Source organism: Homo sapiens, chromosome X, assembly GCF_000001405.40.
Source record: "Homo sapiens chromosome X, GRCh38.p14 Primary Assembly".
NCBI classification, from domain to species: domain Eukaryota; kingdom Metazoa; phylum Chordata; class Mammalia; order Primates; family Hominidae; genus Homo; species Homo sapiens.
This window is the reverse complement of record NC_000023.11, coordinates 130,690,931-130,716,708: the sequence shown is the minus strand read 5'-3', so window position 1 is coordinate 130,716,708 and position 25,778 is coordinate 130,690,931. Positions and strand designations below refer to the sequence as shown.

General features: G+C 39.6%; 1 protein-coding gene across 20 annotated transcripts in view, besides 2 other annotated features; it reads left to right on the top strand.

Moving 5' to 3' along the window:
* ENOX2 (ecto-NOX disulfide-thiol exchanger 2) overlaps positions 1–25,778 on the top strand; it is a 280,885-nt gene that overhangs the window by 186,501 nt on the left and 68,606 nt on the right. For 12 of the 20 annotated variants that reach the window (NM_001382521.1, NM_001281736.2, NM_001382522.1 and 9 more), the window contains one exon: positions 13,455–13,589. In NM_001382521.1, the coding sequence (NP_001369450.1) occupies positions 13,493–13,589 (97 nt within the window). In that variant the 5' untranslated portion in view covers positions 13,455–13,492. Of the gene's footprint in view, positions 1–1,163; positions 1,182–7,377; positions 7,467–13,454; positions 13,590–25,778 lie in introns of those variants that run through there. The other 8 variants (NM_001382520.1, NM_001382517.1, NM_001382519.1 and 5 more) reach the window with 2 other exon arrangements.
* Positions 2,240–2,534: a silencer, noted in NCBI's record as "tiled region #3134; HepG2 Repressive DNase matched - State 8:EnhW". NCBI's record gives its function as "represses a minimal TATA promoter and a strong SV40 promoter by Sharpr-MPRA in HepG2 cells {active_cell/tissue: HepG2}" and the evidence as "EXISTENCE:reporter gene assay evidence [ECO:0000049][PMID:27701403]".
* Positions 3,155–3,656: an enhancer, noted in NCBI's record as "NANOG hESC enhancer chrX:129847027-129847528 (GRCh37/hg19 assembly coordinates)". NCBI's record gives its function as "activates a minimal SCP1, AML or CMV promoter by ChIP-STARR-seq in naive H9 embryonic stem cells {active_cell/tissue: H9 hESC(naive)}" and the evidence as "EXISTENCE:reporter gene assay evidence [ECO:0000049][PMID:30033119]".

Here is a 25,778-nt window from a genome sequence, read left to right as displayed (position 1 = left end):
CAGAATCACAAACTGCCAACCAAATTTACTTGCATGTGTATTGTTCCTGGAGTATGCCGATACAGCGGGTGTCCTGTGCCCAGCTGTCATGGAGGTCACAGCCGTGGCCATAATCTGCCTTTGTCTTGTTAGAAAGCTGTCTGTGAAGAGCAGGTTCTTCTCCTGCCTACCCCCTTGCTTTCCAATCTTGTCATGGATAATTGAGCTACAACACTAAGTAATTCTGGCTTTCCTCCACCACAGATGGGGGGATCAGGAGAGAGAGCACAGATACAAATGTCATCCATGGTTTTAGAGGAAAAAAGCAAATAGGTTTTGGCAGCAGGTCTGATAGGTTGGGGGTATGTACAGTGGTGGAGGGTAACACTGGAACATCTTTTTAGGATTTTATTAGCAGTAGCACTTTCAGAAAATGCATTAATCAGATGAGAAGAATACAAATTAATCCCACTGTTTTTTTCTGGCAGTGTTCTTGGTAAAGAACTTGTTAAAGATAAACCATCTTGTCCTTTTTTTGTTGTAAATACATTCTCTCCTATTAGGTTGGTGCAAAAGTAATTGCCATTTTTGCCATGACTTTTAATCACAAAACCATAATTACTTTTGCACCAATCTAATATTATTAATGGCTGGTTCCTGTACTGGTATTTTCATGTTCTTTTCACCTGAAGAAATTGTAACACTCCCCTCTTTCCTTACCCCCAGTGGCCCCTGTTTTCCATAAGATATCAGAGGTAATGCCCACCATTGTTAGTATATTGATAATAATTACTAGTATTCTACAAGCATTTACTAAGTTAGGCACCACAATAGATCTGTTTTGTATATTTTCTCCTTTAATCTTCACTATAGCTCTATAAGATGGGTACTATTATTATCCCATTTCTCAGATGTAGAAAATGAAGCACAGAGACATGAAATCACTTGCCTAACATCACACAGGTAATAAATGTTGGGCCAGGACTAGAACTCAGATCTAATCCAAAGATTATGATCTTAACCACTGTTATAACCCTACTTGTTTTTCTCTTCATTCAGCATCGTTCAGCATTAAGGCTTGAGAGTTTATCATGCCTGGTCTGGCCAAATGCATGCTAGTGGTTGATGGGAATGTGTTGTGGTTTTCAAAAAAAAAAAAACAGTCATTTTGAAACATGAAGGGTAGTGAAGATAATGTGAAGGTATGTATAATAAAGTCTATTGTCTTTTGATTATTTGTCAAATTGGAGTGGAGTTTGAAAACTCCAGTTTGGCTGCTTTGCAGAGGTAAAGAAGCACGAAAGGGGCCAGAGCTGCTGGCCCAAGGCAGAGCCATTAGTCACTGCCTCATGCGGTTGTATGTGTATATATAGCATTGCCCTTAATATCTGAGGATGGCCCTGCTGAGGCAGCTAGTACTTCAGCCAAAGGTCCCATTATTAGCAGGATTTACCACCTGACTTATTTATAGTCATCATGGCCAGGGTCCCACCCCCTACCCCCACCAACTTAGACCATGGCCATGTAGTTAATGACTTACACAGCAAGTCAACAATATAGCCCAACACCCATCCTCTCAGAGTCAACCTACTGGGAATACAAAATGACTCCAGTTGTTCCACATTCTACTTTTAGGAGAGAGAAATGATAAGGAAATTGATATGGAAAATATTCTCCACTCACTCCCATTTCCCCAAACAAGAACAACTTGCATTCTAGGTTTTAGACTTAGTACAAATACAGCCTTGTTCTGTACCTTTTAAGATATTTGTAGTACCATGATAATTGGCTTAGTTTTCAAAACTCAGTTTAAAGTCACTACCTCCAGCTTCACATCACTTCCTCAGTGCTCCCCTCCCTCCTCCACCACCTTCTCTCCTTAGCACCGTCCTAGCAGGGGAACTGTCTCCCCCTTCTTCATATCTCTGTTTAGCCATTTTCAAACCGTACAGTAGTTTTTGTTTTCATATCTGCCACTCTCACTAGTCTATGAGCCCCTCAAAGGACAGGAAAACATGTAGTTTTCACCTGGGTACCATCACATAATATATGGCTTTCACAAGTTTGTTAAATTAATATTCAGAATGTATCTCGTAGTCTTGCAATAACTTCACCAAAGATTCAGGTACAACTAGCACATATTGATTACCTATGTTGTTTTCACCACCACCCTGTGAAAGGGTGGCATCATTCTTATTTATAAATAAGAAAACTGAAGCTCTGTGTTTCTCAAATTTGTAGTGGGTGTAAGAGTTACCTAGGGTACTTGTTCAACAGGCAGAGTCCCCAGTGCCACCCAGGTGAAAACTTTAGCAGTGAACCCTGGAAATTGGCCTATTTAGCAAGCACCCAAGGTGATTCTGATGCACATGGTTGGAACGTACTTTGACAAACACAGGTGTAAGTGATTGCTACATGGTGAGTAAACGGTAGGGCCAGAGTTCAAACTAGCCTTCCAAACTCCAGATCTTGTTCATGCTATATTTATCCTTGTCATACTCTATTTTCTATGGCAAGGAAGTGGACTGAAACATATTGGAAAGATTTTCAGCAACAAGGACTGCAGCAAAACGGCTTGTGGATTAGCCCCAGGACTGATGTGGGGTTTTTTTTCCTCCAAGAGATCTTGCCAGACTTCCAAGAGCATGGTAGCAGTGTTGCCAAGTCACCTTTTACTCAACTTACCTTGGGAAAGCACAGACCACAGAGCTTTGGGAACTTAACAAAGTTTATGCTTCTGTTTTTTTCTTTCTCCACCCCCTCCCCCACCAGCAGCTATGCCATTAACTTAAAGAGCGTGCTCAGTACCTGAAATGCAGTTAGTTGATTAGTTTAAATATTAAGATTTCTAGTTGAACACCAGTAACTACAACATTTGGGGTCCTGACAGTAATATTTATGTGTTTATTTCAAAACCAGGAAAAGAATTATATGACTTAACAGGCAATTAGTGCAGATATTAAAGGAGCTGAGACAGGTAGCATTTTTTTTTTAGGCCCATCTATGCTTTTTGGTGTTCTTTACCTAAATATTAGGTAAGAAAATATGGAATAAATGTGATGATGTAATCCTAGATTAGAGGACCATAGTCAGCCATTCACTCTAGACCAAGGTAACATTAGTTCACAGGTATCTGAGAAGTCCATGAAGCCAGAGGGTTGGCAATTACAGACTGTAGTCCAGAAAAACCCCAAAAGAGCCTCTCAAGGGGAGTCAGCCACTGCTCTTAGTAGCTGAGGCAGCCCTCTAAGGTTCCCACAGTGGAGCCTGATGGTATTCCAGAACCCTGGGTCCAACCAGAACCCCTGGGTCCAACCTTAACCTATTCTTCTGACTCAATTTGCCTAATAACCTGGAACTGAAAAGTACTATCCCTGAGATACCTCAGCCCATGCCAGCCCACCCTGAAATTACAAAAGAAGCCCTTGGCCGCAGCTCAAAGATCCCCACAGGGCATCTGAATGATTTCTTCCTTGCCAGAAAAAGGGAAGGGAAAGATAAAGGAAGTAGGGTTAAAGTCATGATCAGGTACTTGCTCTGTGTCAGATATTGGGCTCAGCATTCTTAGTGATGGTATATAGCCCAGTGGTTAAACGTGTTGTCTCTGGAGCCATACTTCCTGAATTTGAATTCCAATTCCAACATTAACTGTATCTGTGGCCTTAAGCCACTTGTTAACTTCTTTGTGTTTCATACTCCTTGTCTATAAAATGAGTATAATGATAAATATCACTTGTCTCATAGAGTTTTTGTAAGAATTATATTGTATAATACTGTTAGTGGTGGAAGTATCTGAGTTACCTGTGGCAAATCCATACAGGTCTGCAGCAACCTCAGTTCTTGCCTCCTCAGAAGAAAGAATTCGACTGAGGGGCATAAGGAAGAAGGAGAGACCAAGGCAAGTTTTAGTAGTAGTGAAAGTTTATTAAAAAGCTTTAGAGCAGGAATGAAAAGAGGGTAAAGTACACTTGGAAGAGGTCTAAGTGGATATCTTGGAGGTCAAGTGCCCTGTTTGACTTTGGACCTAGGGTTTTATATGCTGGCATACTTCCAGCATCTTGCATCCCGTTTCCCTTGATTCTTCCATTAGGGTAAGCTGCCTGCATGTGTGGGGGCCTGCTAGCACTTGGGAGGTGAGCATGCTCAGTGTGTTTACTAGAGTTGTACACATGCTCATCTGAAGCGTTCTTCCCTGTTCCAGTGGAATGCCCCTGGAAGGTCATATATCAGTTCAACTGTGCCATTTTGTCTCTTAATGCACATGCCTGAGCCCACTTGCCCAATACCAGAGATCTTATTGGGATGCTGCCAATCACCAGTTTCAGGTGTTTTTATTTATTGGGAAACTACTTTTTCCTGGCGCTGGCTATGATCAATTACTATTTTAGAGAGTCAGTGTGACAACTACCTGATAGTCGCCTGACATTCCTGGTGGGGCTGGGGGAGCCCTCTCCTGCCCCACTCATGCCTGGCTAGCTACTTACTGTAATAATACATGCAAAGCTTTAAAACAATGTTTAGCACATAATAAGCATTTAACCAATATTAGGAATCAACATCATTATCATTATCTTTTATATGAAAGATAGGTATCATTATCCCCAGCTGCAAGTGAATAAACAGGTTAAAAAGTTTGTGGAACTTGCCTAAAGTCATTCAGCTAGTCAGGAGTACAGCCAAGGTTGGATTTTAGATCTATCTGGCTCCAAGTCCTGTATTCCTTCTATTATACCTTGTTGCCTTCATAAATGTAGGGTATGTGCTATCACTTCCTTGGAGAGGCACATACCAAATTCTGTGGCCTTCTTCTTCCTCACTATACCACGCCCTCACCCCACCCTCACTACAATTGCCATCTGGAGGGCTGGCCTGGCTCTGTGGCTTTAAATTGATCTAACTTAAATATTGAACATCTTGATAACTGCTCCAATACAGAGGTGGCTGTCTTCAGGACCCTCTAGCTTATAGACTAAAACAATAAATCTTCCAGGATGAGGTTTAGTTTGTGAAAGCACCCGCTATGCTGAGATTCTCATCTGTATACCTTGAAGATCAAGCTATTCTCTTCCAACTCCCACCCTGCCACACTCACAACTCATGTGAAAATGACTACCTACTATATATATAGGCCAGCATAAAGACCCTTCCCTTGCCTCCCTTTGCCTTCCCTTCCCTTATCTCCTTTTCCTTTCTCAAGGAAGAGAATGTATGACATCTTGATTCCCTTGAGTGACTCTTTGATCCATCCTGCTTGTCTAATAGCATCATCTCTCTCAAGCCATCTGGGAGCCTTGTATTACAAAAGCCTACAAAAGCCCCTGTCAGTTCTCTCACCTGCATCACCGTGATGCAAGCTGTGGCATCACTTGAAGTCTGCAATAGGAGGGACTGTGGCCTGTGCCTCAGGCTTCAGTGCATTGTTCACAAACAATGATAGATTGTTAATTTTCAAGGAATATGAAGAGAGATTCAAAATAACACCTGCACTGCCACAATATATTGCTTCATAAGCAATAAATACTACGCAAAAGATAAAGCCTTGAGCCCCAGGCTTAATGCAGACCCCAAATGTGATTTGTTCTACTGTTTCCTTTCCCTTAGACAGAGAACAGAAAACACAATGTTATTCCTTGGTAGGACACCCAACCCTGCCCCTGTGTCATCTTTTCACAACAAATACTTCTCGAATGCCTACTATATGCGAGGTCCTATGTGATATGCCAGAAATGAAGTTTTCTTCCACGTTTTGTTCAAGCATTTTCTAAACTTCCTTTCTCTTTCCTTTGTCATGGTGTGCCTACTGCTATTTCCAGGACTATTCTCAAACAGCAACCCATGAGCATTCCATGGTACCTGGACTTCCCACAACAAGGATCATTTCTTTGATGTGAAGCATAGAAGTAACCATGCTGAAAGCGTTAATAGATTCTTGAGATGGGGTCAGAGAGGAGGGTTTGATCAGATTAGTCTTAGTTGCACGATAGCATAAGAGAGTAGGGTACGGCATAAACTACAGAAGTTGGAGTTGCCTATACATGTGATAGATGGGAAAGGATTATGGAAGAAACCAGGGGTATAAGGCGTTCTCCAGTAAGAACACACAAAAATTGTTACAGTAGAGCAGGATTTCTCAACCTCAGCACTATTGACATTTTAGGCCAGATAATTGGTTCTTGAAGGGGGATGTCCTGTACATTGTAGGATGTTTAGCAGAACCCCTGGCCTCTACTAGATGTCAGTAGCAACTACCTGCTGCCAGGTATGACAATCAAAAATGTCTCCAGATACTGCCAAATGTCCCCTGTGGGGCAAACTTGGCACTGCAATAGAGGACATTGAGAGTACCCATCTGTATAATGATGAGCTCTAGAGCCCTCAGCTCAAATATTCTATAACTTGATGAACCCCCTAGTTTAGTAGGGCATAGTGGTCAAGAGCATGAATTTTGAAGCCAGACTGCCTGGGTTTGAATCTCGGCTCTACTGCAAGCTAGCTATATAACTATGGATAGCTTGCTTAACTTCTCTGTTCCTATTACCTCATCAGTAAAATGGGGATAATGAAAGGACCTACTTCATAGGATTGTTGTGAATTTTAAATTAATATACATAAAGTGCCTAGAACAGTGTGAGGTGCATAGTAAGCATTATATAACTGTTGACTCTTATTAGTCTTATTATAATTGCTATCTTTAAAACTATTAAGAAAACCAAATACCATATGTTCTCACTCATAAGTGGGAGTTGAACAATGAGAACACATGGACACAGGGAGGGGAACATCACACACCAGGGCCTGTCAGGGGGTGGGGGGCTAGGAGAGGGATAGCATTAGGAGAAATACCTAATGTAGATGATGGCTTGATGGGTGCAGCAAACTACCATGGCACGTGTATACCTATGTAACAAACCTGCACATTCGCACATGTATCCCAGAACTTAAAGTATTAAAAAAAAAACTATTATTCATCATTTTTCTGAGTCCTAGTATATTCTAGAGGCCTGATGTCCCATGTCCCACCCACCTTTAGACCACTATCTGTTTCTTTTTCTTTTTTCTTTTTCTTTTCTTTTCTTTTTTTTTTTTTTTTTTGAGACAGAGTCTCACTCTGTTGCCCAGGCTGGAATGTAGTGGTGTGATCTCGGCTCACTGCAACTTCCATCCCTGGGTTCAAGTGATTCTCGTGCCTCAGCCTCCCAAGTAGCTGGGACTACAGGCATACACCACCACGCCTAGCTAATTTTTATATTTTTAGTAGACGTTGGGTTTTACCATGTTGACCTGGCTGGTCTTGAACTCCTGACCTCAAATGATCCACCCACCTCCGCCTCCCAAAGTGCTGGGATTTACAAGCATGAGCTACCACGCCCAGCTGAGACTACTATCTTCTTTCTGCAGAAATGATGACAGAGCTAAGTTCACAGTTGAGGACCACACAATGCAAAGAGATTTTAGATGGCTGTGGGTCTACGAAATAGGCTATGCAGGTAAGCCCCACTTTGTACAGTTGCTGAGTTCTTGTAGAGTTCTCTTATTTAAAAACACACTTATTGGCACCTACTTTGAGCTAGTCACAGTAAAGGGTGCAGAAGTAAATGAGGTTTGTGTCGCCTGGCCTCAAGGAATTAACAAATATGGCTGCTACATGGACTTTCATTTTAGTAAATTTAATTACCTTAAATTCTCTAAGAAATTTTAGTTCCTTCTCATAAGTGAAGAATTTCTCAGTGATGCTATCTTCTCATCCCCAGATTTATCTTCCTTGAAGTTTGTATGTCTGTAATTGGGAATTTTTTGTATTATCAGCATGTAAGGATTATAATACTTCAAATTGTCATCATTTTATCTTCCTTTCTTTTTCCATTTAAAATTTTTGTTTAACACTCAGCCCTCAAAAGAAACCCTCCAAAAGAGATTTTATCTTAATACAATAATAGAGTAGTATCCTGTTCTGAATAGCTTGACACCTGCTTCTGGAAAGAATATCTGTGGAGGACTCTTTTGTATACTCATATATTTCCTCATGTATTTGTTTAAAATAGCTTGTTAAACATCTTTTCTATGTCAGACACTGTGTCTAGGCACTAGAAATAACAAGGAGGAATAAGCAATTTCTGGGGAGAGACAGACATGGAAAAAGATCAGAAAAATATAATGTAGTAAGGGCTATGATAGCAATGTCTTCAGTGAGCTAAGAGAACACAGAATAAATGTACTCTTTGGAAGAGAGTTTAGTGTGATGAGTTACATTGTGAGCATTGGCATCAGAGCTGACTGGGCTTATATTCTTGCTCTACTACCTACTAGCTGTGTGATGTTGAGCTGATCACTTAAACTCTCTGTGCCTCAGTTTCATTATTCATACAGTGTATTCTAGTAATTCATGTGTATGCTTGGTTCTCTCAGTAGACTTTGAACCCCCCGAGGGCTGGGACCACTTCCTCATCGTTTACCATAACTATTACCATGTTATTATGGCCATTTATTGAGCGCTCAATATGAGCCAGAAGACATGCTAAATTCTTTACCCACATTATCTAATCTTCAACAAACCTATAAGGTAGATGCTTTCATTTTCCTAATTTAGTAGCTTCCCATTTTTTCGTCAAACCCAGTTATTTGCTCATAACACTTATTACAGTGCATAATTATTTGTATTTTAATATCTGTCTATTGCATTAGAGTATAAGTTCTACAAGAGCAAGGATGAGGTCTCTTTGACTCACCCTAATATCCTCAACATCTGCAATACTGCCTGACACATAGATAATGTTCAGTGAATGTATGGTAAATATGAAAGGAAGACTGGAAGGCAGGCAGGCAAGAAGAGAAGAAAGAAAGTGAATGAGCACATTACAGTTGCTAAGTAGTAGAGTTAGACTCTAGTCCAGAGCCATCTGACTCCCAGACCAATGCTCTTGATGATTAGACAGGATTGCTTCCTGTGGTTAACAGGCTTTCAATAGATGTTTGTTGACAAAACTGTCTCCTCAACTTTGCATAATAATGTGTAACAAAATTACAGTGAGCATAAAAACCAGTGGATATCCACTCGGACATAAGAAAGAGAATTGTAGGAGAGTAAATCATCAGAGAAGGAGAGTTTTTGTCTTAATGAAAGAATATAGTTGAAGAGACAGCACCAACATACTGTTGTCCTTGTTTCAGAGGAAATTGTGTGTGTGTCTGTGTGTGTGTGTGTGTGTGTGTGTGTGTGTGTGTAGTCTTCAAAATCAAATAACTTTGACAGTGATTGACAAGTTAATTAGTGATGCATCAACAATACAAAAATAAACAGATGGCAGAGATTTGATAGTTATAAAATGATACCAAGTTCAAGTAGATGATCACTTCCAAATCTTGTATTCTTTTGGTGCTAATGGAGCTTATTCCAAAGTGCCATATCTTCAACCAAATTACCTAGAAGGCACTTACTCACAGCCACTCTACAATCTCTGACCTCTTGAGAACTTGTCACACAGCAGAATAGGAGAACCAGCATGGCAAGACATGTTCTTCAGACTTGGGGTAGGTATTTTAAAGACCACTTGACAACCAGTAGCATTCGCCTTCTGAATATTCTTGGCTGCTGCCAGTGATTGTAGGATTCAGGGGAAAATTACTAGATGTCCATTTCTAGTCTAGAAAGTGGATCAGGCCAGAACTTAACTTTTCCACCATTAAGTGATAATTCTAAACAGATACTTAGCACAACATGTTTTGTTACCGTGGACCTTGAATCCAGATTACTGCCAGAGGTGATCATCTGGGATTTTCCTTTGAAAGCAAAATTTTGCAAGCTTTTATGTATGATTATGCCGATATGGGAAAAAGATCATAGCTAATGAGATCAAACTGAGTTATTAGTTGGGCATATATCCCTGGTTGTAACTAAGCAAATTTCTACAAGTATTCAGCTGTCCTAGAGAAAGAATTGGCTTAGCAATAATGCCACCTCTTTAAGACAATTTGTCATTCTGAAAAGGTATACAAATAATCAATGGGTGTCATTGTATAGACTGCTTATTGTGCCCAAAATCAATGTAAATTAATTTTCTTTATTAATTTAAATATTTCTTGAATACCTACTTTATACTAGACACTAAACTAAGAAATAAGGAAAGAAAATGCCTCAAACCCAGTACCTGACCTAAAAGAGGCATGCAGGCCAGCAGAAGGGAGACATGTACACAATAACAATAATCCAAGGCAGTCGGTGGTAAATGCTTGGTGCTTCTTGCTTTTTAGAATGCTCTTCTTACCCCAATCTTCCATTCACTACCTGGAAGAAAATCCTATCCCTCCTTAAAGACTTACTTCAAATGATTCTTTCCCAATGAAGGCTTCCCTGGCATTCCTCCTCCACCCCACAACCAGAAACACGTATACCCAAACCCATTGCAGCAGCTTTAATTACTCCTCTGTGTTCCCAGAGCACTCCACTCATGGTTTAATTACAGTACTTATTATAATAATTTACATTGGATTGTTTATTGTTTTTGAATTCTTCCAGAGCAGTAAATGAGTTTTGTTCATCTCTGTGTTCGTAGTTACTAGCAAAACAGCATGGCATATAGTAAGACTCAAAAAAGTTTAGTTTGCAAGGAATGAGTGAGAGAATGAGCAAACATGTGAAAATCAAATTCTAGATAAAATGTTATGAGAACACATCAGAAGAAGTAATTAATTCCAATGAGGTGGTTTTGTTATAGGACTTTTTCCTTAGTTCAGCAAAGAACCAGGTTCTTGTCACACGGCCATGAGAGATTAGGCTTGCAGACACTTTGAAGGGTGAGAAAAATGGAATGTATTGGAGAAAAAGGGGTAAAAAAGGGAAACGGGGACCCTCTGCAAGGCCAGAGTCCTGCTGGTGTGCTTCCCGCCTCATAGATTGAATCCCAGGTTCCACCCAGGAAGAGGAGGGGCCAGGCTCCTTCCCACTGCAAACACATGAACTTCCAAGGCTCCACCCCAGGGTGCAGGTCAGTGGGAGGCTCTGCCAGGGAGCCCTTCCCACCTGGCCATTTCAGTTTCATAAACAAGGTAGCATTTGAGGTGACCCTTCAAAAATGAGTGGGATTTTGACAGGTGGAGATGGGTGTTAGGGGAGGGAAGGGAGATAAGAAGGACATTTAAAGCAAAACTTCCTAAGAATTTAAGAACCACTTTCATTGAGATGAAATAATGTTGTTAATCACACATGTTCCTTATCTGTTCCTGTAAACAAGCATACCAGGAACTCTACTTACTAACATGTTAACAAGCATTGTGAATTACTATACATTTTGAAAATAACAATACTGTGTTTTCCTTCAAAATTGTAATTGAGATCATTGTCTTCCCCCAAACACTTATCCCGCCCCTAATTAGTCCAGAGTTTGGCTAGGTTAATATATTATAAATTCTCATTCTTTGACCTCAAAATCCTTTACTGAGAAGTGTTCCTGTTTGTTTGTTTGTTTGTTTTAATATTTCTCATGACTGCAGAACCAATGAGTAGCCAAACTGTTGTAAGAAATTATTTTTGGCATTGGGTCCCAGTCCTTCTAAACCTACCAGTTTCTTCTGGGACTGATTCTCCAGCAACCAGAGAAAATCAGAGTGTAGACTCAATAATCTCTAAAGGTATCTTTCAGCTGTAACATTCTCTAAAAACTTACCTCCCCTAGCTGGGGGCTTGGAAGTCCAAGTAGACTAATTATCACTATGTAAACTCTCAACCCAAAGGATATTCAGCATCCCATATTTGTTTTCTTGATAATATTTGCAAGGAGGCTATTTCTAGCCTTTGGATATGCCTTTGTGAGAGAACACTGAAAGCTGGATATAACTACTAAAGTTCCTACAGATGGAGAAATCACTCTGTAGGAGTAATCACTCTGAAATGTGACTTCTGACTGTAATTAATGAACACTTAGTGCCATCAATCACTGTGTGTGTGTGAAGGAGGGATTAAGGGGGAAGAGGCAAAGGCAGCACAGAAAAATGACAAAAACTAATATTTCAGAAATAATGTTTTTAGACATTTACATTTGCTTGTTCTGACCAATCAGTGACCAAAATAGCACATGTATACATAACCCTGGCAAGAGTCAGCCCTGATGTTGCCTTGGACTTTAGCAAGCTACTATTAGAACAGAGTTGCCTTCATGGGTTGTAATTGGCAGAAGTGTGTACTGGGAGGTAGGAAAAAAGCCATAGAAAGATTTTTCTATGGCTATCAGTAGTCAGAGGAAAATTTCCCAAAACGAAAGTCTGTTTGTGCTCAGATGACTCATGACTATATCTCTCCCAACACTGTGTACATGTACGTGCTTATAAAACCCGTTTCAATGTTTTTGCTTATATCATTCCTGCTCCTGGGATGTCTGGCCCCTCTACTTTACCTATCTAATAACTGCTCATCACTCATGACATGCTCTATATAAATCTGGTCCATTCTTTCAAGTCCTATTTTCTCCATGAAGTATTTCCTGCTTACTCAGGCCACAGTAGCTCTGCATACCATAAACTACAGTAACATTTCTGATCTATACCATTTGAGTCTTTCATTGTTTCCTAGTTGTTTAACTGGAGATAGTAAAGCATAGTGGCTAAAAATTATACATTCTGTATGACCTTGGACAATATATTTGACCTTTCGAAACTTCTCTTAAATGTCTCTAAAACTTCTATTAAATGGAGATATAAATAGTCCCTACCTCATAGGGCTGTTCTGAAAGTTAAATGAGAATGATGCATGCCAAGTGATTTACCTGGCATACAGTAAGTGTTCAACAGAGGTAGTAGTGGGTGGAGGTGGTGATAACAGTGATAATGGTAATAATTATCACCATCATCATCAGTCTCTTCAATTTTATTGTACAACCTTTGAGGGCAGGGACTGTGTCTCTAGTCTGCTTTTTCTCATTGTTCCCCTAACCCCCAAAATTGTCATTCAGCTAATTTGATGTCTGCTGATTGTGTGTCCAGCTCTATTCAATAGTACTGCTTCAAAGATATGAAATTACATCAGGAGTATAATTTTCATCTTTTATTGCCAACTACAGAAGCCCTAGGATGTTTTTTCTTGCTTTACATGCATAAGTAGTTTGGATGGAAGCTGCTGAAGTAATCATATGCTAGTAGACTGTGAGAAGAATAGAAAACTTCTTAATCATTCCAAGCTCCTCTGTTGTGTATGCTTGAAAAAAGAGAGAGAGAGAGAGAGAGAGAGAAGGAAGAAAGGGAGAGAAGGAAGGAAACACTTATACTAAAATGCCATCTGGTAAATTACTTTCAAATTCCATGACTTCCTGCCAGTTCAAGCTGTGTTGTTTTAACCCTTATAAGAAAGCTGGCATTGAGGCCTTATCCACCACTTGTCCATTTCTCCAGCCATTTCTATAAACAGTTTGCCAGAATTTATGTTTATAAGTAAACTAGTTGCTAGAACCTTAACACAACAAATTATTTTGCTTGTCATTTCTTTTCAGCCGATAACAGTAGAACTCTGAACGTGGATTCCACTGCAATGACACTACCTATGTCTGATCCAACTGCATGGGCCACAGCAATGAATAATCTTGGAATGGCACCGCTGGGAATTGCCGGACAACCAATTTTACCTGGTATGTTATTTTTAATCACCTCGCAAGTGCTTATTTTTATTGACCATGTGGTTATAAATATAGCAGTATGACACAACTTATTTTGAAGTTGACATTTACCAGATTCTGCCTAGAGTGTGCATTTTTGTAATATGAGCTTTATAGTCTGGGTGGCCAGTAGTTACTAGTATACTCCGTTTTGCACTTTGGACATGCTGGGTGTATATCCAATGCAGGCTAGGGTCATTGAAGCTTTAAACAGCTCTTTGAAATACAAGGCAACAGGATTTTGGCAAGGAATTACAAAGCGTGTGTAATTTTATAGATTTCATAGAGGAGGCAAATAAACATGGAGACAGGAAGAGAACTGACTTAGATATCTCCAAGATCTTAAGATTCCTAGAGGAGAGGAAAGGAGACGGTGGAGGACAGCCCAAAGACTCTTTTTAACATTGAAGAACTGTGTGTAAATACACACACACATACATATATACATAAACAAAGTAACCCATAATAGAATTGACATGGTGGACTAACTCCATCTCCGCTGAAGATAAAATGAGAAGCAGAACATCACAGCACCTGGAGGGTTTTGTTTAGACACAAAAAAGCTTCCTGGACAGTGAGAGCTAATTAATTATTACAATAAATTTTTGAAGACATTTGAGAATTGCCATCTCAGGGAGCCTGAGGCAGCTTTTTAAACAGCCTAAACATTAATCTCCCCAGATTCAATTAATTGTGACTTTACTTAAAAGCACAACAGGACCAGGCCAATCTAGAACCTTGCTACTCAAAGTGTGCCCTGCATAACCTGGGAACCACTTAGAATCCCAGAATCTCAGGCCCCAGCACAGACCTACTGAATCAGAAGCTGCATTTTCGCAAGGTCCCCAGGTGCTTCGCAGGCACACTAAATTTGAGAAACAGATTTAGAGTAATGCCATTTTGTCTTGCCATTTATTTATATAGTTAGCTACACCCCCAAAAATATTATTTCACAATTCCAGCCTAGGTTTTAAATCCTTATAAGTTATAATGAGGGTGAGGTCCACTAGACAGCAATACTAATAATGAATTAAGAAATGTTATTACATCAAAAGCCAAGAAACAAGCATAAAAGCAACCAAACATGAAGAAAAAAAGGTATGTGAATAAGAAATGGGTGGAGAAAAAAAAGGAGTCTAAATTCTATATATGGCAGGTGCAAAGAACTCTGCCAAACTACTATAATTCATACCATAGGTTGTAGTTCACTGGACTGTATTCTTCTCCATTAGAACAACAACAATTGAAATGAACAACCAAACATCCTTTGAGAGCTACCGTGATTGGACCATGGATCTCCTTAAGTTTTGAATGACTGGTAGGGCCAATCTGGGATCAGTGAATGTTACTGTAGGAGCCAGTATTGCAGAGTGGTTAAGAGGTCAGGTTCTGGATTCAGTCTGCTTGGCTTCCAAGCCTGTTTCTTTCACTATTGGATCTCGAGCAGTTGTGTATCTTCTGAGACCCAGTGTCCTCATCTACAAAGTCAGACTAATAGTACCTAACTCCTAGGATTGTTATGACAATTAAATCATACTTAGCACAATGTCTGGTACATAGAAGGTACTCAAAAATGGCAGCTATTAAAATACTTCAAAAATCATTACTAATGTATTTCTCATAGACATTTCTAAGGAAGTAACGAGTTTTTTATTTAGTACCTCTTTATTATTTGATTATAATAGAATTTAAACTGAAATATATATTGTTTTATATATTTATATGAAATATATATTGTTTTATATTGTTTTAAACTGAAATATATATTGTGGAGTGTCCCTGAGTCACAACACTTATAGTCTAAGATGACTAGACAATCTAATTTGACTTAAATATTTCCAGTTTATGACAGTCTGGACCATATGTGTAAAAGTCCCAGGAAAAATATTGAGGCCACATCTGCGCTGTGTTCCAGGGGACTAAATGTTAACTGATATCATATGATTTGTAAGTTATCGTATATAAGCATAAATCTATGCTCACAAAGTAATATTCAATACTTAGCCATCCATCTATAACATGGAAAAGAAAGGCCTAGCATTGAGAACAAAAATGCCACCAAGCAATCATTACAGACCCAAAGCTTGAGCTGGGGTCAATAATAAGGCTAGAAGATTGGGGTAAGTTTTCTAAACAGTGTGGTGGAGGGCTTGAATCCTCATAACAGTATCTTGCTTAGTGCTTAACAACACAAGCCTTGAAGTCAGGGGATTACATGGGTTTGAGTCCTTGCTCTGCCACTTACTGTGTTACCCTTAAGCAAGTTACTTGACCTCTCTGTTCCTCAGTTTTCTCATCTGTAAAATGGAGATAATGATAGTGTCCTAGCTCACAGGATTACTGTGGACATTAAATAATATACTTAGCACACTGCTTACCATATAATAAGCACCCAATAAAGATAAACTGTCATCATTATTACTACTCTTAGCAGTACTATATGCTCTTTGATGTAGAGGAAGTACTAACATACATTCTTCAAATTGCTGCTAAGCTCCCACTTAAATTGAAAGTATTTGGATGCTATGGAGCCACTGTCAATGCTAATATGCTAATGAGCGTTCTGCACATCCAGCTTCAACCAGACGTTTGAAACCTCAAGAGTATTTTTAATTTCTACCATTGGCCCCCTTCTCCACATCTTGTTTTCTTAACGACTGTAAAGAAATGGTTTCTCTTTGACCTGTATGTAATTCAGTGATTCTGCTGCCACCATGCTCCAGGGAAAGTTAATTGACTCTTTAGAAACCTGGTCATGGAAATGCTGGTATTAGTTAAATAGTTCCCTTCTTGTCTTAAAGTGCATGGGGCAATAACATCAGGCTGAGATATACTTTGTAAAGCTATGTATAAAATCACTTAAGTTATGTGTGAACTGGTTTTTTCTCATCTCTGTATTATTTTAGGAAGGCAGTTTACCATTGACATTTGAACTTGGGTTCTAGATCCAGAATGCCTATGTTCAAATCTCTGTCATTAACTAGTTGTGTGACCGTTGACAAGTTACTTCACTTCTCTATGCCTCAGTTTCTTCATCTGTAAAATGCAGATAATAACGGCACCTATGTTGTAGGGTTGTTATGAGGATTCATGTGTTAATACATGTAAAGCCTTAGAATGATGCCTGGCTCACAGTAATTCCTCAATTAACTCAGCTATTGTTATTAGTGTTTCAAGTTCACATGTGCGATGTGGCTCACAAAAAGTTGAATTATGACTCATCTTTACCTTTAACAATAGTGAAGGACAGCAAATGCAAGCGTGAAATTTTTGCCTGGTGAAATACTGGACAGCAACAGGTGAAGAGAACAGTATATGTCTGACAGTGCTGATGCCTGTTCCTTATAAATCTGGTGGAGATTTTCACAGAAATGGAAGGTTGGCACGACACTCCAATGCTCCCTACCTTTCTTCTTGCCAAGGTCTGGAGAACAGAGTGCCTGCCATCTTTACAATGGGTTAAAACATCTCCCTGATCAGCACCCCATGCCTCAAGATTTCTTAAAATGGAAAAGGCAGCAAATAAGCCTCATGGAGCTGTTGCCTGAAGTCACCCATCAAAGGCTCAGTAATTCAGCTACTTTTATGCTTCTCAGGAGGTTTCCTACTGAGCCAGAAGACTTTTCTTTGTCCTGTCTCATCTGGCCTGTCTGTGACAATAGAAAAGTCTTTTGACATTGATGAAAAACTAACAATAATGTAAGCTTCCTTCACTTCCCCCAGAGACCTCTAATCTATACTGTCATGGATGCTGAGTCTCTTGGACACACACTTGTCATGAAGGCAATGTCTGGCATAATTATTATATTCATTGAGTAGGGAGTAGAAACAGGCTATCTCTGAGGTTTGGTGTGGAGTTCCCTTTCAACTAACATGGTGTTTTGTACAGCTGTGGTTCAATAAAGTTAATCCATAATGATGGCAGATCAGGAGGTCCCCTCTGGCTGGCAGCTGTCTTTCCTGCAAGAGTATTTGCTTTGAGAAGCTGGTCAAATAAGACTAATGTTAGTGGAACCCAATAGAGTCAGGCCCTCTGGTTAAAGAACATTGTTCTGCCCCAGTCATTCCAGATGAATCCAAGGATGGACCCATTAAGGGATACTTGCTGAATACTACCTGCTGCTTCCTTTATTTTCCCCTCAATTAAAATATCCTTAGCAGCCAAGTGTGGAGCCTGTGAAGTCCAAAAAGAGAAGAGTCCCTCATTATGATGTCCCCACTGTATTGACTGTGTCTGCTCCATAATGAAAGATATTGGAAAATATGGACTCATGGACCTTATTTCCAGAGCAAAGCCCTGCTCATTCTTAAGGAGGCAGTTCTCACTGGATCCAACAGACCAACTCTGATGGGAACAGAAAGAAAGAAGGAGTTTGTATGATACATGACAGACCACTGTTCTGCAAGCTCCTCAGGAAGGCCTGGACTTCGGTTTGTATTATTTTTAATATCTGCCACAAATAGAGTATGCTTTTAGTGGCAAAAAAGTTGCAATCCTGAGAAAGGAGAGCACTGTTCATCATCATGGTATATATTTTACCAAGAGCCAATAATACGTAAACATTATATATACCAGATAAAATTAATGTCTCTTCAAAACAAACCTGAATTCTACCTACTGATGGTACTCTCAAGATTCACCATGGAACATATCTACACCTGGAGATACTCATTTAAGTCTCCTCCATGCCACCACGCTCCTGTACTAACACAACAGCTGGCAGTTAGCTGTTGTGTCAGGTCATCCTTTAAAAAAAAAAAGACCGAGGCGTCATCATTTGGTTTGGACATAATTGGGACCCTACTTTTATGAATATGCATGAGTTCTGTATTGTATAGCTGAAAAGGTTAAAAATGTTGTAGTTATTTATCTTGATATTACAGAAGTACTTTACTTCAACAAAAATGTATGAGTTTATATGATCTATGTATTGTCATATTTTTATTTGGGAACAAGCACATCATGATTTTGACTTGATTACTGGCAACAACAAGATTAACTGGGCCACAGAAGGACAAACAGGAGCTGGTCAACATAATAGAGACTGTGTATTGAGGTCCCCACAAAGAACGAGGTCCTATCTCCCAAGGAAGACACCAAGAAATACAGATAGTGAGGCGCTCGACATCACAGTCTGTGTAGGTAAATGCTGTGGAGCTGTTTTCTCTTGGAAACATTTTAAACTATTTAAAGCCTTTGGAAGAGTACATGAAGCTCAAGGGCTAGAGGATCTTTGAGATAAGAATTTCATGACGTTAACTAGCTGGAATAAGTAAATGCACAGTGATAGGAAAAATCATTTAAAAAGAAAAGGAAAAGACTCCCCATGGAAACTATTAGGAGAAAGAACTGAGTCAAACTATTTGCTTATTCATTCATTCATACAAGAAATATTCACTGAAGCCTGCCGGTATGAAGGTACTGTGAGAAGCCCCGCGGACAGAGCAATGAACAAGAAAGACAAAGTTTCCTACCCTCATAGTGACTCCAATACTTTTAGAACTTTCCCATTCTCTCCCTAATCCAACATGTTCTCGAATATGAGCTGGCTGTTCACTGACAACAGCTCAAAGGCCTTCCTTTCATTTTGTTCATTTGTTCTGTTATTTATCCATCCATTCATTGAAAATCTATTGAGCTAGATATAGGGGATTCCAATATGGGCATGGCACAATCCTTGCCTTCAAGCTCAAGTTGCAGTGGCAGAAGCAACAAAGTAAATACCACTACACTATCATGTTGCAAGTGTCATAATAGAAACTTGTACATAAGTATTGTTTTAGCCCAGGTGTGGTGAGGGGAAATGCTAGGTAGATGGCAGTGGTCAGAGAAGGTTCACAAAAGAGGTAATGTTTGAGCTAGGTGTCCAGGTATATATAGGAGTATGTCAGGAGGATGAAAGAACTAAGAACAGTGTAGGCAGAGGAAACAGTGCATCAATGATTGGAAGGTATGCAAGGGTATACAGTATGGAGACAGTGGTTAACTATTGAGTTACATCACCTCATTCAGCAAAGACTTTGAGGCAGCTTATAAGAAAGATTACAGTATATGAAAAAATACAATAATTTATAAAAAAATAAAATAAATCAGCATCTGGGAAAATATAAATGAGAATAGAAGACAAAGACCAGGTAGGGAAGTTAATTAAAATTCAGGTGTGTAGGTCATAGGATTCCCACCTGATTTCTGAAGTTGAGCTGCCCCTGTGACAAAGCAGCCAAAACAAAAAAGGGAAACCTGATCAGTTATATAATTTGCATTTTCCATGAAGAAAAAATATACCAGTCCTCAGGGGAAGTGAAGCTTTTAATGGCCCTTAATAATGTGTGTGTGTGTGTGACATTCTAGTTCTGAAAGAAATTTTTCACAGGAAGTTTCATATATAGGGGAGCACACTAAGTGAAATGGTTGAGTGATCTCAAAAGCCCAAACACTGGTGTGTAGGCCAGGACCCGTTTATGGCAAAATGTAAAAACTAAAAATGCAGTAAATTTGTCATGAAGCTAAATTTGCTCAATTGAAAGGACTGCCCTTTATTCTGAGGTGATAGACTTCCTATATTTTTTATTTTAAAATCTTCTTTTAGTTTCTTTTTATTTTTTCCCCACTTATTTTCTTGTCAAATTAAGAGGCTGGTGACCTTAAATATGGGTATAATTTTATTCATTTCCAAAATCCAGAAATCTGGGAACCACAGATGTAGTGGGAAATGTCCTCACTAATGCCCCTCCAAAGGTGAATACCTTTGGAGGGCATGACTCTGGACCTGTCAAATGTTCTAAAAAGGCAAGAACACAGTGTAAATGAATAAAAAGGAGTTGAGGGAAGATGGGCTACAGAGGGAGATTTTGCAAAACTTTGCACTAAAGGAATAAAGCTCCACTGGTGGAAATTTGGGATCAAAGTTGAGATATGTTTGGGAGGACCTTTGTGAACTGAAATTGTGCCACATAACCCACCAATCCCAGTTTGCCAGATTGTTTGCTGTTGTACATGAGCCAGGCCCTGTCTCACCTTTCCAGCTGAGCTGAAACAAGTGTTTAGATGATCTTTTGGGGAAACGGGACAGATGTAGGTAGAATTTGAGAGTCATTGTAAAAAAATTTGGGAACTTGTGCCTCCAAGAGGGCTGGTGAGAAGTCCAGAATCATCTTACAGCTCAGCCAGGCTGTCCTTGGAAATCTGTGTTCTCTCTTCAGATTAGAAGAGAGATATAAGGTTGAGTAGGTAGATATTAATCTGACAAAGACTGCCTAAAAAGTCTTTTAAAGAAACTATGTAGAAAGGAGGCAGGACTGTAATGGGTTAAAATTTCCCAGTACACAGGCATAATTCTTAATTTTCCAATGAATTTTGTAGGAACTGTAAAGAAATAACAATAATGTCTCAGAAATATGTAGCTCAATTGAAATCATAACTTTCTATAAAATAGCTTAATTATGCATATATAATTAGATCCTATTTGAAATAGTTATTTTGGAATAATCTGTGGTTGCATTTCAGTGGTTTTACTGTGAGTAAAAACTACCTCCTGGGGCTCAGGGGTCTCTGGAACACCTAAAAGATTGGAAATGCTTTTATTGGGCCAGGGGAGCTTGGATGGGGATAAGTCGTTAAGTGCAGGCAAAGCCTTTCTGAGAGTGTAAAGGGGCTTCCAGTAAGAACCAGGGTCCAGTTCTGAAAATTGTAAGCAAGATAGTCAATGTGTGTCACTTCCTACCTTTGCCTGCCTCCAATTGATACATGGCCACAATTTCAACTTCTTTTGTGGCACAAAATTGCAACAATGAATTTTAAAAAGAGGCCCCAAAACACTGTGACAATGCATGTGTGAAATATCTCAATAGGAACTTCTGGGTTTAGAGATAAGCAACCCCAGGATAGCCTCCTGGATAGGAAGGTTTGAAGGCCACGTACAAGGTTGAGTAGGTAGATACTGATCTGACAAAGGGCATCTGTCTTTCTCTATGAAACTGTGGACTTTGTGGGAAGCAGTGTAGACTAATGGTTAGGAGCACGTTTAGTAAGAGCTACTTACTGTGTATCCTTACTGTGTTATCTCTTTCAGCTTCAGTTTCCTCATCTGTAAAATAGGGAATATTATTTCCCATCCCTTAGGATTGTTGTGAAGATTAAGTCAGATGCAGTGTATAAAACCTGGAAATTCATAAGTAGCCAATTAATGAGTGGCTAGTATTCCTCTCCCCTACCACAAAGGTAAAAGTTGGCATTTTACAGCAAGAAGATAGCCTGAGATCAGGAGTTCGAGACCAGCCTGGCCAACATGGTAAAACCCCATCTCTACTAAAAATACAAAAATTAGCTGGGCATATTGGCGCGTGCTTGTAATCCCAGCTACTAGGGAGGCTGAGGCAGGAGAATCGCTTGAACCCGGGAGGCAGAGGTTGCAGTGAGCTGAGATCATGCCATTGCCCTCCAGCTTGGATGATAAGAGCGAGACTCCATCTCAAAAAAAAAAAAAAAAAAAGAAAAGAAAAGCCAGCATGAACGGGCCTGCCAAAAACTATTAGGACTGAACCATAAAATAGGCACGTGTGATGTCTTTGTCAGACATCAGATGTAGAACACCTCTGAGGTTTCTACGGTTTGGTAGACAACTGTTATCTTAGTACACCTAGTAGAACGTCAGTCATCTGACATTGTTCCAACTGAACAATGGTCCTTCCATATAGCAACAGTGTAGTGGCATCAGTTGCCCAAGACAGTGGCTCTGTGCCCTGCAGGATCCCAAAGCGCCTTTTCAAAAATCTGAGAAAAATCATGGTCAGTCTAGTTTGGCTGTTTAGTGTACTTTCTATTTTCATTCCTTGAAAATTGTTAACTCTATTAACCAATCACATTCCACTGCAGCCATGCTGGATATTCTCCTTATCTATTGCTATATAACAAACTACCTTAGAAGTTAGTGACTTAAAACACAATCATTTTATTATATTTTAAGATTTTTCTGGTTGAGGAATTTGGGTAGGACTGAGATGGGCAATTTTTCTGTTCTATATGATATCAACTGGGATACCTCAGTTGTGGCAGGCTGATTTCAAGACTTCACTCATATGCATGGCACCTTGGTAAGGACAGATACAAGACTGGGCTCAGCTGGATCCATCTTCTGTCATTTGCTCTAAGTCTCTCTCCACATGGTCTCTCTAGCAGGGTAGTCAGCCTTCCATGAGGATGAAAAGCTCCTGTATCACACATTTCTAGAGACAAAAGGTAGAAATTGCATCTCTCTTAATGCCTGGGCCTGAAAAAGGGCACAGTATCCCTTCTGCCATATTCTGTTGGTTAAAGCAGTTCTAGAGCCCATCCAGATTCAAAGGGATAGGGGCATAGACCCTTACCTTGATGGAAGGAGAATCAAAGAATTTATATCCAACTTTAATCCACCATATTGGGGGAAGAAGAATTGTATGTAAACATTTTGTTGCTCATATGCCTTATTTTTTCCAACATATTTGCTTCACTTTATATCTGCAATCATATTAATTCATTGAAACCATTGTCATACTACATTGAGAGGCAGTGTAGTGGTTAAGGGCATTAGAATTAGACCAAGTTGGATTTGAATTCTAGGTCTGCCTCTTACTGGCTGTATAAACTTGAGCACGTAACTAAACCCCCCTTGAACCTCAACTTCTTTATCCATAAAATGAAGGATAACAATATCCAAGCTCACAGGTCTATTAGAATGTGATTATATAAAATGCTTAGCACTGAACCTAAAACATTTTAAGCACTTAATAAACAGTTATGGTGGTTCACTGATGGTACAGCATTGTAACTGTTTGCGTGGTTGTTTCCAAACTAGAGTATAAGGCCAAGGATTTTTGTCTTATTCATTTCTGCAGCCCCAACACCTGACATAGGACCTGTCATCAAAATATTGAATGAATAGATATAGGGATAACTGGGTAGCTGCACAGAAATGACATTTGCCTCCATTGTAATTCCTTGGCTCAGATGTGTACAGAGAATGGACAATAATCACTCTGCCAAGGTTGAGTAAGTGCAAGTTGCTAGGTATCAGGAAGGCTCAAAGCTACATGGAAACATTACTTGAAATCACATGGTAGAGTTGCAAGTCTGAGGAGCAAGCTGGCCCCAGCTAACAGACAGCATTTGCAGAATTTCCAGTGGGCTGGGACTTTGGGAAGTACATGAATCAGAAGAGGGAATACGGGCTGGGCCTGGTGGCTCATGCTGTAATCCCCACACTTTGGGAGGCCAAGGCAAGTGGATCACTTGAGGTCAGAAGTTTGAGACCAGCCTGACCAACATGGTGAAACCGCTTCTCTAGTAAAAATACAAAAAAAAAAAAAAATAGCCGGGTATGGTAGCGCATGCCTGTAATCCCAGCTACTAGGGAGGCTGAGGCAGGAGAATTGCTTGAACCCGGGAGGCGGAGGTTGCAATGAGCTGAGATCGCACCACTCCACTCCAGCCTGGGCAACAGAGCGGGACTCCGTCTCAAAAAAAAAAAAAAAAAACAGAGAGAGATAATACAAATCAACATGTCATGGCTCTTTCAGCAATGGCCATGCCAAGAGTCAAGAAGGCAGTGGGGAAATGGTGTTAGAAGAGACGATAAAAGCAAAATAGAACAGGATATTTATTGCGAAAAGGACTTTGGAGGAGTATCTTGGCCTTTTCCATAACTCTTTTATATGATTTCAAATCTTTGAAACTTTGAATTCCTAATATAAGTGGCAATGGTACATACTTGGTAGTACTCCACAAGCCAGGCCAGGGGCCTGGAAAAGGGAGATAATTCCTCTGGTGTTCTATTCCCAGTGTGTTTTAAATTGCTGGAATTCTTTGATTTTTCAGGTTCTGCAATATATGTATAAAGCCCATGACTTCAAATGGTTTTCTTGGTTGACATTGGAAATCCACATTCACTTTGGTGCTTAATGGTTAAAGATAAACAAAAGAAATAATCAACGTGATAGAAGCCTTTGAAATGTCATGTACAACCTGCCCTCTAGGAAGCCCTTATGGGCAGTGTAGCCTATGGAACTCCTGGCATATTGAACAAAAGGAAGAGGGGGAGTTTATCTACTCTGGCTTTAGCCATATGCAATGAATACGTTTGCTTTTAAATGAATTTATAAAATATTAATGTAATTATACGAAACAGCAGAGTGGTAAGTACATCAGTCAGGAGTTATATTTATCCTGTATATTTGTTTTTTGTTTGTCTCCATTTATTAGTAGACAGTAAATGGAGACAGACATTTCCTTCTCAGCCAAAGTGGCAGAACTTGTTTAATGAGCTGATGTTTCTGTAATCTGTGGTAAGGTAGAGTTGTGAGTGACAGAGCTATACGAATAACAAGGAGGCAGGCAGAACAATAGAAGGAAGACAAACATTTCAGTAGAAGAGGAAAAATAGATGGGATTGTTTTGTTGGCACACAATCTAATCTGATCTTTTCCTAACGAAAAATAACAGTTTGTAAATGGGTAAGATAATGTTAATAATTTCTCCAAAATCTTCTGCATGAGAAATCAAATTTTCCGAAGACATAAATGGCATTCTTAACCATAGTGCTCTTATTTTACAGCATAGGAAGACAGGGTATCGGAAGCCTTAAGTTCTCTAAGATCAAACGGGAAACCTAGACACCACCCCCAACACTTGCATAGAGCCTGACATATAGGAAGCCTATCACAGATGTTTGTGAATGTGTGAATGAATGCCTCAATTAGTGAATTTATCAGTGTGAGTTTTCACATTTTAAATGGAAGGAAGGAAACTTACCTATCAGTACTATCTCTCACGCCAGAGGTCTTCATATCTGTTCTGTGCTTTCGTCCTTTGAGCTAAATGCCATTATTTACCCCCACTTTTACCAAAAAGGAAATAGAGGCATACAGATATTAACCCCCCACTTTTACCAAAAAGGAAATGGAGGCACACAGATATTAAGAAACTTTCTTCAACATCACATAACTACTATATGGAGGAGAGTAGAGTATAGATATGAGAGCCATGGGTGGGAGGGAGGGAAGGGGAGAGTACGTGTGTGTATGTGTGTGTGTGTGTGTGTGTACATGCAAGTTGAGTGAGATGACATTTGAGGGCTAAAAGTAAATATTTTCATAAAAATAAAACTTCCTCTTGGGAGAATTTTTTTC